At 36.0% G+C, this 14,993-nt stretch overlaps 1 protein-coding gene across 14 annotated transcripts in view; it reads right to left on the reverse strand.

Annotated features, from left to right (window-relative positions):
• Positions 1-14,993, reverse strand: part of CEP128 (centrosomal protein 128) — a 482,534-nt gene that overhangs the window by 433,367 nt on the left and 34,174 nt on the right. For all 14 annotated transcript variants that reach the window (NR_157142.2, XM_047431023.1, XM_011536493.3 and 11 more), the window contains 2 exons: positions 6,066-6,227; positions 3,987-4,073 (listed from right to left, as the gene is read on the reverse strand). Coding sequence is in view for 13 of the 14 variants with exons in the window: in XM_047431023.1 (XP_047286979.1) it covers positions 3,987-4,073; positions 6,066-6,212 (234 nt within the window). In the remaining variant the exon portion in view is untranslated. The remainder of the gene's footprint in view (positions 1-3,986; positions 4,074-6,065; positions 6,228-14,993) is intronic.

Here is a 14,993-nt window from a genome sequence, read left to right on the forward strand (position 1 = left end):
CAGTGTTGGAAGTGGAGCCTGGTGAGAGGTCACTGGATCATGGGGGCAGAGTTCTTATGAATGGTCTAGCACCATCCCCGCTTGGTACTGTATAGTGAGTGAGTTATCATGAGATCTGGTTGTTTAAAAGTGTGTAGCACCTCCCCACTCCTTCCCGTGCTCCTACTCCGGCCATGTGATGTGTGTGCTTCCCCTTTGCCTTCCACCATGATTGTACGTTTCCTGAGTCCTCCTAGAAGCTGAGCAGATACCAACATCATGCTTCCTATACAGCCTGTGGAACGGTGAGCCAATTAAACCTCTTTTCTTTATAAATTACCCAGTCTCAGGTAGTTCTTTATAGCAATGCAAGAATGGACTAACACAGGTAGTTTATCCAAATCATCAAGACATGCTTTTTCTGACTTAAGCATGTAGTAGGCTCCCTCTAGCCAAAGATAAAACAATTTGAGCATAAATAAAAATATTAACTGCAATGGACTAAAACACTTTAAATATGCATATAATTGTAAGTTAATAATGATACTCAAGGGGTAAAAAAAGTCATTGGTCACCACAAGAAGATGTAGGAAACCAATTATTTTGGAAACTGATATATAAATGAACTGAAAAATAACTGTAGATGCTTTTAGATTACCATGAAAATAAAATAACTAAATTTTAAAATTCTCACAGAGATCTCTGAAAGCCTTTTGATATCTCTATTTGGAAAAACTCTGATTAGAAACAAAATGTAACTCAAGGTTAATGAACTCAAAAAGAATGCATATAAAACGCAAAAGGATTGACTACACTCCAACCTAAATCTATGAAAGGAGATCATCTGGGCAACAATGGGTAATGCAAATAACAGAAGTGATCATTTAAAACATTATAATTCAGGCCGGGTATGGTAGCTCACGCCTATAATCCCAGCACTTTGGGAGGCCAAGGCGGAAGGATCACTTGGGCCCCGGAGTTCAAGACCAGCCTGGCCAACATGGTAAGATCCCATCCCTACTAAAAAAGTAAAAAATAAAAAGTAGCCAGGTGTAGTGGTACACAACTGTAGTCTCAGCTACTCAGGAGGCTGAGGTAGGAGAATTGCTTTAGCCCAGTAGTTCAAGGCTACAGTGAGCTGTGATTGTACCACTGCACTCCAGCCTGGATAACACAGTAAGACTCTGTCTCAAAATAAGTAAACAAATAAAATTTTAAAAATAGAAATATGTGATTCAGAAGGACCAAAGAAAAGCTTCATTTGCTTTCTTCAGCTGTACTACTTTTACTTCTGCCCCCGCTCTTTTCTGCATCTTTCACACCCCATCAGATAACTTTCTAACTTTCTTACATGTTTTATTTTGTGGATGAAATAAGATGATCTATGTAAAATAATTAGAACAATGCCTGAGGTAGATTTGGTCGTTCAGTAAATGATACTTTTTATCATTATGATTAAAGGCAATGACAATAAAAGTAAAAAATAAATAGAATGATGAAATAGAATGCTTTAATCTGGAGAAGCTATTTTAAAGAGTTTGTCATTCCCTAAACATGTATTTACAACTCAGATGGAAATACCTGTTGAATTTATTTACTTCCCACTTATAAAACCACTCCCGGGCAGGGCACGGTGGCTCGTGCCTGTAATCCCAGCACTTTGGGAGGCCAAGGCAGGCGGATCACAAGGTCAGGAGATCGAGACCATCCCGACCAACATGGTGAAACCCCATCTCTACTAAAAATAGAAAAATTAACTGGGCGTAGTGGCATGCGCCTGTTGTCCCAGCTATTCGGGAGGCTGAGGCAGGAGAATCGCTTAAACCTGGGAGGCGGAGGTTGCAGTGAGCTGAGATCGCGCCACTGCATTCCAATCTGGTGACAGAGCGAGACTCCACCTCAAAAAAAAAAAAAACTACTCCCTCAGAAAGTTTAGCATTATTCAACTCTAGGCTTACCACAGAGACTTGATGACAATGGATCCCTCGTTGAAAATTGCTTTCTTAACATTACAATATTTAGTGCTATGGAATATATCATACCTCAAATTGGGTATACATAATTTAATTTCCCAACTGCCCAATTCAAAGGAAATCTGCTACCCTAAGTAGGGATCTAATATTCAACTTTACAAAGTAGGACTATACTCTACTAATGGTTAATAATAATGTTTTCAATTTTTCACTAATAAATTAAAAAGCAAAGACTCAATTCCCATTATTAATAAGGTAATGAATCTGAAACATTTCATGAACTGCCCAAATATAACAAAGTCTATAGAGCTCCATTGGTCAAGTACATCATAAATCATAAAAATCCTGTAAATACAAGGATGTCCAAACTCATTTTCTAAATAAAAATAGTAGAAACCCTTATGAGAGAAGATATGTTTCCCTGTGCCCATTAGCTTGCAATTACAAGTGATTAATGACAACTATACCTTTACTTGTAAAAAAAAATAATAATAATAACAAGCCGTCAATTACAACTTGGGAGTTACGTGACAATTCAATACAACACAGATATGTATAAAACAGTCATTATTCCTTCATGTTTCCAATGATAGGTACATATACAATGTGATTTTAGTGTTTTCATCACACTGTATATATACCCCTCATTAGAAACATGAAGGAATAAGTTTAATTGGTTTTCCAAGAGTTTACAGGACAGGAGTAAGCAATTCCAAAGGAAAGAAAAGTAGAAGATAGAATTAGTAAGACATTAATTAAAAATACATTATTAACTTTATTCCAGAACTCTGGAGTACATTTTTTTCTTACATCCCCATGTAAAGTAAGTATAAACTGGAACATCCTTGAAAGGGCAATTTTGAAATATCCAGCAAATTTTTAAGTGCATATATCCTTTAACCCTGCAATTCTACTTCCAGCAATCCTACAGGATTACAAAAACATATGTATGTGTGTGTACAATAATGGTCACTGCTATAATGTTTATAATAAAAAGAAAAACTAGATACATTCATACTATGGAATACGGTATAACTGTTCAAAACAATGAAGTAGTGCTACACAAAGTTATATGGAAAGTGATATACATTATTAAATTTTAAAACGTTGTATAACATTATATTTAATATGATTCCATTTTTAAAGCAAATCGCACATATGCTTGTAAATACATAGAAAATGTTTGGAAACAAGCTCTCAAAATTGTTACCTCTTTTGAGTGGGGCTCAAAGGGAGGTTGGATAGAATTGGAGGCCATTATCCTAAGTGAAGTAACTAAGGAATGAAAAACCAAATACCACTTCTTCTCGCTTATAAAGGAGAGCTAAGCTATGTGTACATAAAGGTGTACAGAGTGGTATAATGGACATTGGAGACTCAGAAGGGACGCAAAGGTATACAGAGTGGTATAATGGACATTGGAGACTCAGAAGGGACGCAAAGGTATACAGAGTGGTATAATGGACAGTGGAGACTCAGAAGGGAGGAGGTTGGGAGCAGGGTAAAAGATGAAAACCTATCTATTGGGTACATTGTACACTATTTGGATGACAGGTGCACTAAAATCCCAGACTTCATCACTATACAATTCATCCATGAAACCAAAAAACCACTTGTTCCACTACAGCAATAGAAATTTTAAAAAATTAAAAAGGGGCTTTGAGAGAGGATTTTTTCATTTTTTGTTTTAACAATAAACACATATTACTTTAAAATAAACCATCCTTAAAATTCTTAACTCTACATGAGGGGTCTCTCCATGGCCCAAGTTTACCAAGTCTCCATTAAATTCATGTCTTGAATTCTACTCTCTCTGATGTAAAGCCTTCAAATTCAATAGAATCTAATTTATATAAGCTAGTTAGCAATCCATCTGACAAGCTAACCTAAACTTAAACTATAAAATAATAAATCAGTTTAAAATCTAAAGCACTTCACAATGGTTTTTTCCTTTAGCTCACAGCCCCATTCCCCAAAACACTTCATTCCCAAAAAGGTGGGTAGGAGAAAATGCAAACAAATGTAGTTTCTCACATGTTCTATCGCACCCGCCTGTCCATTACTGTATTCTCGGTATCGTCCAAGCATCTGGTCCACTTGTCGCAGGTTCCGACTGGTATCCTTGAGAAAGAAAATGGACTGAATTAATTATTCCAAATACTTTTTTTTCCTAATCAATCTTAGTAGTATGTCAATCAACTAAGTCAACAGTTTGTAAAATGTACAACTTTTATCATGGCTGAGTTGAATATCAATGTACTTCACACATATTAAGTAAATCTTAACACCACTGAGAGAAACTCAAATCCAACTGCAATTTACTTGTGTAAAATCTGAAGCACATAATGTAAATCCGTATTCAAGATTCCCTAGTAAGTCAGCAACAAAACCATAAATTCTCAGAATCATAATTTTCAATTTGTGCCCCTCAACCAATTCACACCCTCTTTATAGAAAAGGAATTCTGAAAGAGCAAATCTAGTAGACTGTGTACAAGAGAAGAAAATCATTAAGATCAATGTGATTTTGACTATTCTTTTACCTCAGAACTTGAGGAGAAGAAAAACAACAAATTTAATTTTAATCACAAAAGAAATGGTTCTTATCTAAATATTCTAGATTTCACCTGGGAGATTAATCAAGGTATTTCTTTCAAAAATATATACTTATTAATGTGTCTCATTGTTGGGAAAGCACAAGAATTCATACTACAAAATTCCATTGTTATCTTACTTTACTTACTTACATTTTACTTACTTTACTTACTTACTTACTTATTGATGAGAAAGGGTCTTGCTCTGCCACCCAGGCTGGAGCGAAGTGGCATGATCATGGCTCACTGCAGCCTCAGCTTCCTGGGCTCAAGGAATTCTACACCACTATGCCCAGCTAAATTTTTTTTTTTTCCTAATTTGTGTATAGACACAGTCTAAGTATGTTGCCTGGGCTGGTCTCAAACTCCTGGCTCAAGTGATCCTCCCACCTCAGCCTCCCAAAGTGCTAGGATTACAGGCATGAGCCACCATGCCCAGCCCATTATGTTACTTTAAATGAGTTTAAAAAGGATAGGTCCTCTGGTTTTCAAATCAATGCATGGCTTCGCCACCAGAAATTACCCTCTTCTTATCTAAGCATATTAATCCAAAGCAATTAAAAGCCAAAATCCATTCTTAGCCAGGCTAAGGCAAAGGTAAGGGATTAATGCGTAGGAAATACCTTATATTTCTGAGTTTTCTTTTTTTCCCCTATAGCTGTGTTACACTTACCCCACCTCTTTTCTAAAGCCCTTTCTAAGAAAAGGAAGCAAAATGCCTCAACTCAAACCTCCAAATACTAGCAAAAATTAGCCTCTAAATTAAAATGGCACCTCTTTATTTTCACCCACAAATAATCTACCTCACCAAAACATGAGTAATTTCTCTAAAGGCACATGCCCATGAGAAGCTAAACTACAATCATTTCTACTGGTTTCACTCTCACGATATTTTATTTGGAAATACTGCTTTACCCTAAAACACTCTCCACCACCTATCACATATTTCAAATATCTTTACCAACTGTCATAGGCAGAATAATGGCCCTCAAAGATATCCAAGTCCTAATCCCTGCAACCTGTGTATGTATACCTTACACGGCAAAAGGGATTTTGCAAATGTGATTACATTGAAGACTTTTAGATGGAGAGATTCTCCTGGATTATTGGGTGGACCCAATGAAATCATAAACATCCGTAAAAGAGGAAAAGGGAGGCAGGAGAAGTAAAGTCATAGGATGTGAGAAGGGCTTGACCCTTCCCTGCTGGCTTTGAAGATGAGGGAAGGCAGCCACAAGATAAGAAATGTGGGCAGCCTCTAGAAACCAGAGAAGGCAAGGCAATAGATTTTTCCCTTAGAGCCTCCAGAGAGGAACACATCCCTACCAACACTTTGAGACCCAGTGAGACCAGTGTTGACTTCTGATGTACAAGACCTTAAGATAATAAATTTGTGTTGTTTTAAGACATTAGCTTTGCAGTAATTTGTTACAGCAGCAAGAAAACTAATCCACTGACTGAAACTATTAAGCAGCTCAAACTATTTAAATTCTATTAAATGCAACCATTGTTAAACTAACCTGTAAAGTACTTGTTATAGTGTTGACCTTCTCGGTAACTTCTACTGTAGGAAGACTTCGAGTTCCCCTGTGCGTTGATCTGGCAGCCCATGGACTCAATCGGTCACGACAGCGGAAGTGATCTGATTCGCTGGATGATTCTGCCATTGATGTACACAAATCCTTTTAAATAAATATAGGTCAAAGTTAATGAAACAGTAAAAAGCATGGAAATAAAAGACTAATACAACAGTTTACTTTTGATCTCTTTTCTATGTTTAATACATTAGTAATTTTGCACACTGTAATTTCTACATACATAGCTTAAAAACACAAGAAGTCACTTCCCCATGTAATTCTCCCTCCTCCATTGTCTCTGCTTTAAGGGAGCGATTCCTCAGATATGATTTTGGTCATGTTTACAACTCCAGTGATAATAATCCCTTAGATTCATGCAATGCTTCCAAATTTTAAAAGTATTGTCACATTTAGTACCTCACTTAATCCTACCAACAACACCATAAGGTAGATGAGAAAAACACAGATATTCTCTAAAGTTAGGACCAGCAAGTATCTTAATATTCATCCAATGTCCATTATACTATAAGAACACAGGTAAAGGCCACACAGCATGACCTACAATAAGGCGGTCTCACTCAGTGTACATTGACAACTCTCATGTACCTTGATTTCAAATAGAGTAGAATTAAACAAATGCTGTAATACAGATACAAATTCTACAATAACAGATACATGAGAAGGTGGCATCTTCAACATCTCCACCAAAATAGAAAGCCAGACATCCTAAGTATATGCATCAGTAGATAATTCTCTAAACATGCTTTTCTTCCATCCTTACCTCAGTTTTCTATTTAATACATTAAAAAAAATTATTTCATGCAAAGGAATCTCAAAAGTTTCAGGAAACCTTTTAATAGAAGTTGAAGAAACTAAGTAAGTTCAGAACAAAGAAGCATCAGAGAAACTCAACTGATAAAAAGTGAAAGTATATTGAGTATCCCAATAATTTCATTTTCTACTTACTGGTGGGTTAACATTATTTTAAGATTAATTGCTAGAATCTTCCTAAAATCTATATGGCCATTTTGCTGGCTGATTAAATATAGTGTGATAAAAACATTTCTTTTTTGTTTTGTTTTCTTTTGTTTTTTGAGACAGAATCTCACTCTGTCACCCAGGCTGGAGTGCAGTGGCACGATCTCAGCTTGGCTCACTGCAACCTCCGCCTCCCAGGTTCAAGCAATTGTCCTGCCTCAGCCTCCCGAGAAAACATTTCTTGAATGACAGAGTATCTTAGACTTCCAAGATCTTTATTCTGAATGCATCTGGAAGTACATTGATCATACATTTAAGGAGACAATAAAGAGAATGTGCTAAATGTATACATGTCCTAAAGCATTTAATGAAAGCAACTGTGTTTTTAAAATATTGGATGAAACATAACTAAACAAATAAACAAGAACTCTTGCCATAAGGTTAGGTTTTTTTTAAATGAAATACAGTCTGTTACTGCTGTATCAAAAAAAGAATCAATGAAATAGCCAACTTCTTCACAGTAGCTAAGACAGGGTTAGAGAACATCCTGTTGAACACCCATGCTTCTCCTCTGCCCAGGGCTCTTAACTTCCTTCTGCACCTATCTTCTCTGGTTCTTGCCTGTCTTATCCCATGTATAATTACAAAGGTATAGTACCCATGATGTCACTCCCTCCCACCATAAGGAAACATGAACAAGAAATTAAGACTGAAGCAATTGTTTGGCTTTGTTTTTCCTGGCTCACAATTGCTTAAGTCCAAAGGAAAAAAGTATTTTCTTTAGAAGACAAGACATCTTACATATAACATCTTACATATAATGTTCACCTTTTAAACTTCAGAAATCACTTGTATGCATCTCATAAATCTATGCCACATAACATAACATCTTTTACTCTAAGTTACAGTACTTCCCATCAAGCATTTTCCATTAGTGAAAGCAGGAAAAATCAACATTTTCTAAGACTCTGCTATTCTGCCAAGTACTATGCAGATGCTTACATAAGACAACCCAATTTAATTCTCATAACAACTTATTAAAGTGAACACTATTAACCCCTAATTCATAGAGGATGCTACTGCTAAAAGATATTAAATAATATCCAACTCCATACAGTAATTATAAGTAGAATGCAAACCCAAGATTCAGCTGGCTTTCTCTGTCCTCAACACTATGTTCTTCCCACTGTGTTCTGCTGTCCGATTATCCTGAGAATTAACAATCTTAACAATTAACAAAAAGTGCTAAAGAGAGCAGGTGCAGGCCAGAGCCTACATGTGTGTATAATCTTCTCAACTCCCTCTCATTTCATGTCAGCATAAAAATATCAAGAAAAAAGGGAAATATCAAATAATAATATAAAATCTTAACTAGGCACCAGGAAAAAAACTAAGTGACATATCTATACTAATGCATTTAATAAAAAGCCCTGAAACAAATCAATCCACTGGTCCCAGATTAAGGGGTTTTTGTTTCCTTATTCCTTTTATCTCTTATATAAGAGAAAATAATAATTATGCCTGGCATCTGTCTCTTTCATATCAAAATTCTATAGCTTAAAGCATAATAATTTTCATTTTAACAAGTCATAATTCTGGAAACTTGATTGAAGTTAAGAAATCACTGAAGTTAAGAAATCAGGCAGAATAAAAAGTTAATATTGAAAAAGACAATGTGCTTACTATAATAGTTGTTAATGAGAACAAGGAACAAAATAACTGTCTTTGAGATAACTTGATATTTCTAAGAGTATCAAAATTTTAATAATAATCAGTTATCTGAAGACAACTTCACCAGATATAAATGGCATGTCAGACACTTCTAATACGTAGACAATTTGAGTTTCAACATGACTAAAAATAATTATAACTGAAATTTGGGGATGATATTTAAGATACAAAATAGTACAGACTAATAAACATGCATGTATCTATCACCAAGAACTAATAAACATTATCATTCTGACATATGTACCTTTGAGAGTTTTTAGTAAAATATTTAGAACACTGTAAATAAAGTCTTAGTACCTTCCAACCACCCCTCCTTCACCCAGTACTACTCCTGCCCCATTTTCCCAGGGATAATCACTAGCATGATTTCATGTATAACTCTCCAGGCTATGTTTTTATACTGTTCCCATAGGCATGGGTACCTCAAAGTCTTTTTTTATAAAACACACTGCACTGAATTGATAAATATTAATAAGTAAAGATACGGGGGCATCTGAATTTAACTCTAAAGCAGAAAATCTTACTGGTATTAAAAAAAATTAAGAACAACATAAACTAAATTATCTCTAATCGTCATACAATACAAGAAAAAAGAATGATCTCTCACCACCACTAGGATTACATACTTTTACTAAGACAGAATCACAAGTTCCGGCATGAGTTTCACTAGTACACACACACAAAGACTTCAGCTATAAAGTTAAGTTACTGTGAGCAATAAAAGATGTTCAAACTCCTGCATCTGATGGAACTCCTTCAGAGACATCAAGATTTAAGGTGAGATATATCTGAGAAATTTGCATGGCTTTTTTTAAGCATATGAAACATTCAGCAACTATCTAAGGACTTTAATTACCTAAGTTTCATAAATGTTAAACTAAGTAAAATTTTTAAATCTCATTATAATAAAAAATAAAAGTTAGATTATTTACATTGTTGATAAAAATCTGGCATTTTCTTCCACTCTTACTGACAACACAAGGTCTTACATGATTCCCATAGCTAACTAACAGAGCACCTAACTAACCCTTTGTGCCACAACACAGAAGGCAGCTATAGTGGCAGAAATCCATCCTTACCAAGAATCTCCGATCTATCATCAGCCAACACCACTACAACCCAGACACAGGACTGATGGAGAGAGAAACAGATGAGAATGGAGTGGCCGCTGAAGTTGGCAAGAGGCTCACACCACATAATCAGAACCTACAGTAGAATGCATGGAGGGCCATGAAAATTCTGAGAGCCTCTTAATATAACTGACTCAAAAAGAAAAGTACAAAGCAATATGCGTCAATTATATACTCTTCTTTTGTCATTAACAATGTATTATTTTATACTATAATTAAAAATTAATTTTATAAAAGAATGGTAAATAGTAATATCACTGGCATTAATGAAAACTGACCAGGCCTCTGAAAATATTTTCCTCAATTAAGGTTTACCTATTATTTCATTCCATGTTAATAACAACATATTGAGAGTCGTCACATAAGGAAACAAATATTCAGGGCCATGAGAAAACATTTAACCTAATAATCTAAGAAATATAATTTAAACAATAAGACGCTTTTCTAGACTATGTAATTGTTTTCTTTTAAATGGTAATGTCTATGGTTAGCGAGGTTGTAGGGGAAGGAGCACTCCTACACTTTCCTAATGGGAACATGTAAATTTGAATAACTTGTCTGGATGTCAGCAGGTAATAAGTATCAAGAAGAGCTTATACCTTTGCCCTGGTAATTACATTTCCAAAAATTTCTCCTAATAAAATCATTTAGAATACATACAAAAATTTATATACAAGAATATTTACTGTAATAGAGGCAAAATAAAAACAACTCAAATTTCAAAATACAAGAATGGTTAAACTATGGTACATCTATACAATGAACACAGACATTAAAAAATTTGTTTCTGAAGAACATTTAATGACAAAGCACGGGATAAAAGCATGAATTCCAATTTCATAATAAATGTTATCTGTATGTGTATATAAATTACCAGTTCTATGGTTTGAATGTCCCCTCCAAAATTCACGTTGAAATTTAATCCCCAGTGAGGCAGTATTGAGAGGTGGGACCTTTAAAAGGTGATTGGGTCATGAAGGCTCCTCCCTTATGAATGGATTAATCTATTCATGGAGTAATGGATTAGTGGGCACTGGTGGTTTTACAAGAAGAAGAGAGACGAAATAAGTATGCTTGGCCCCCTCACCAGGTGATACCCTGGACTCTGAAGACAGTCCTCACCAGTAAGAAGGTTCTCACTAGATACAGCCCCTCAACCTTGGACTTCTCAGCCTCCGTAACTGAAAGAAATAAAATCCTTTTCTTTATAAATTACCCAGTTTCAGGTATTCTCTTATAAACAACAGAAAATGAGCTAAGACAACCAATATATAAATTTAGAGGTGTGGGGAAAGGCAGAGGTAAAGAGGGAGTGGGGAGAAACAGAACAAAAATAGCTTTACTATCCAGAGGTTATAGCTGATTTGTTTTTTCAATAACAGTCCGGCCGGGCGCAGTGGCTCATGCCTGTTATCTTAGCACTTTGGGAGGCCAAGGCAGGCGGACTGCCTCAGCTCAGGAGTTTGAGACCAGCCTGGACAACACGGTGAAACCCCATCTCTACTAAAATACAAAAATTAGCTGGGCATGGCGGCGTGCGCCTGTAATCCCAGCCACTCAGGAGGCTGAGACAGGACAATCACTTGAACCCGGGAGGCGGAGGCTGCAGTGAGCCAAGATCACGCCACTGCACTCCAGCTGGGGCGACAACCGAGACTCCATCCCAAAAAAAAAAAAAATTCCTACATTTCATGAATTTTCTACAATGATTTGCATTAATATACATTAATGCAAATGGAGTATAATCAGAAAGAAAACTATAATGTGTACTTAAAAGAAACAAAAACAAATTTAAAGACCTCTTCAGAGATAGCCGGTTAACAGGCTGACAGCAGATTAACAAGCTGTCGACCTGGAAAATTTGATTAAATAAAAGCTCTATATTCAGAACTTCCATTTTCTTGGTAACTGTGTCCTTTTCCTCCATGGCAACTTCCTGACCTTATTTCCTAGTCCCCTGGCATCTACCTAGGTAGGGCCATGCCACTAGTTCTCACCAACTGATGAGCTGAAGAAACGGGATCACAGTGCCAATCTTTACTATTTCATACTGAAGAGCATTCACTGACCAAAGGAAACACTTATCATGCCTTATGAACTGAAAGAAAATTTATTTTAATTGTATATTATTTTCGCTGTGTAGTTTTACTGAAGTGCAGTTACTAGATTCAAAGATGACTCACTTAAAGAAACATTCTAAACTACTAGAATGAACATAAAAATTGGAGGATATAAAAATATATTAATGTGTACCAACATCACTTATGCATCAAAATCTACTTTGGAGAACGAATTAAAAATGGTTCACAAGTTATGTTTAATCACTATTATAATTTGAAGCGCAAAGACGAATTATTAAGAGTAGAAGAAGAAAAACATTTATGTATGCTCAAGGAAAATCTTCATTATTGTCTTTAAAGATTTAAAAGAAAAAAGTTCAATTAGATAAGAAATTTACCCTCATTATCATAAGAAATTTCAGCATGACACATTGCTGAAAGAAAAGGAAGAACTGCTAAATTTGAAGAATGACCAAACTCTTGAATAACAATTTAAAGAAACAGAAATATCTAAATTCTGGTTAAAGCTGAGAAAGGTATTTCTTTCAATTGGAGAAAAAGCAGTGAACACTCTTCTGCAGCTTACTACCACCTGCTGGTGCAACAAAATTTCTTATTAACAAGAAAGCAACAATATTTGTGCCGTCTGCTTTTCAGACGTGAGCTTTTTCCAAATCTCTAGAGAAGACTAAGATGGGTGACCTTGAGAGAAAGTCTCTGGAATCTTAGAGCAAGCTCTGGGTCTGATATCACAATTCTTAGAATAGCTTATTTAGCTGCTCCCAACAAATCAGTATTTAAAGGCATAAATATTGTTGCTTCTGTCTTAATGAACCTTATAAAGAAGAAATACAGCCACCAGAGCAAATAACAAATCCTCATCAATTCACTCCCACTGAGGATCTATCCATCTGAAACAAATGCCCATATGCAAACTTGAATACTCCAACTAGAGAGAGTAAAACTGAATTCAACCTTTGTAATAAGAGGATTGGCAATGAGCCTTTACAAACTCAAGTCCACCTCTTTTGTTATTTGACCTAAAGAGCCATCAGATTGTCTTCATTATAATGATGCACATTTGTATGTATGAGAGCTGTAATTTATTGATTCTCAAACCTCTTTTCCTCTGAGCCAGTTTAAAACAATTAGGATTTGCAAGCTGTTCCATAAAAGATAAGCACCCAGCATCAGGGGTGATATTTCACAAAGACTGACTAGTGCATGTTAAGTAGGTGATTGCTTCTGTGGCCTCCAAGTGCCTCAGCTGTCCCTGCCCAAGGTAATCATCCTCAAAGAAGATGCTCAAGGTAATTGTGTTGATACTTAGGGGGGTAAGGGAAAATTGGGAGTGTACTTTACACTTAATCATTAACAAAATTCAAATTTTATGTATTTCTCACTGTTTCTGATATGGTTAGGCTTTGCGTCCCCACACAAATCTCATCTTAAATTGTAATCCCCATAATCCCCATGCATTTAGTGAGAGACCTGATGGGAGGTGACAGGATCATGGAGGCAGTTTCCTCCATGCTGTTCTCATGATAGTGAGTTCTCACAAGATCTGATGGTTTTATAAGGGGCTCTTCCCTCTTCGCTCCTCACTCTTCTCTCTCCTGCCACCATATGAGAAGGTCCAAGCTTGCTTCCCCTTCACCTTCCACCATGATTGTAAGTTTCCTGAGGTCTCCCCAGTCATGCGGAACTGTGAGTCAATTAAACCTCTTTGTTTATAAATTACCCAATCTCATGTCATATCTTTATAGCAGTATGAAAATGAACTAAGAGTTTCAATAGCTGTAGGACTTGAGAGCTTTGCCTTATCCTTCTAGTGAAAAAGTTAATAAGCCAGGAGACATTACCATGCAGAAACAATTAACAATTGTACCTGTCTTCTTTACATCAGTGCTCTTCTGTAACTTCATCTCCTCAAAGTCTTTTGGTAAATTTATAAAAGATCAAAATCAACTGTCCAGTCCACCAGTCAGTTCTGTTATGTTAGTGAACATAATACATTAGGAAACAGAATCAGATACTTAAATTGATTTTTCATCATTTAATGAGTTGTCACTACATTAGAAATGAAAGATGAAAGTAAATAAATAAGTCATAGTCTTGATGGGAGAGAAGGACATTTAAGTGTATTATAAACGGTGAGCTAAGTAATACAACAAAATCCTTGGGGAGTCAGGTTAGGATTTTTCCACTCATCTTGAAGGATGCACATAAGTTTGACAGGTGGATGAGACAAGGAAATAGGATCCACTTAAAACCTGTCTAGAGAAAAGTAGACAGGATCCAAATAAGCTGAGCTCTTGCATCCTTCTACCAGGGAAGTTCTGCCCTCGTCTGATTTTCATTCTATGGTTTCATGGGGGTTTTTTTTAATGATTCTACTATTTTCAAAAGAAAATAAAAACATTTGAAAGCCACTACTATAACTAAAGAAAAAAAACTGAAGGATCCTGAGTGGGGAGTGACATGGTAATAAGCACATCAACAGTAGAACAGCTGGGAGGCTGTTGCAATCATTAGGTAATGAATGGTGAGCACCTAAGACAATGGCAGTGGAGATGAAGTATAGCAGGGATGAATTAACTCTGATGGCAAGGTAAAAGAGTAAAAGATGAATCACAAGTTTCTGGTTTTGGTAGCTGGATGGATCCTGAACTATTAAACTGAGCAAAGAAATCAATGAAAAGAAAGAGCTTTTAGGAGAACATATGTTCTAAATTGAACTTGTCTAAGCTTCAATTAGAAAGAGAGGATCAATTTGTGTTTCATGGGAGGAAATATCAAACTAAAGATGTCTAATATGCAACCGGATATGTGAGTCTAAGGAAATATTTGATAGTCATCAGTATAGGGGTGGATAAGACCACCAAGAAAAAAAATGCACAGTGAGAAAAGAAGTAGAACCAAAGAAAACCCCGCAAGAACTCCAACATACAAAAGGCAGACAGAGGAGGTGG

Source organism: Homo sapiens, chromosome 14, assembly GCF_000001405.40.
Source record: "Homo sapiens chromosome 14, GRCh38.p14 Primary Assembly".
Taxonomy (NCBI): Eukaryota; Metazoa; Chordata; class Mammalia; order Primates; family Hominidae; genus Homo; species Homo sapiens.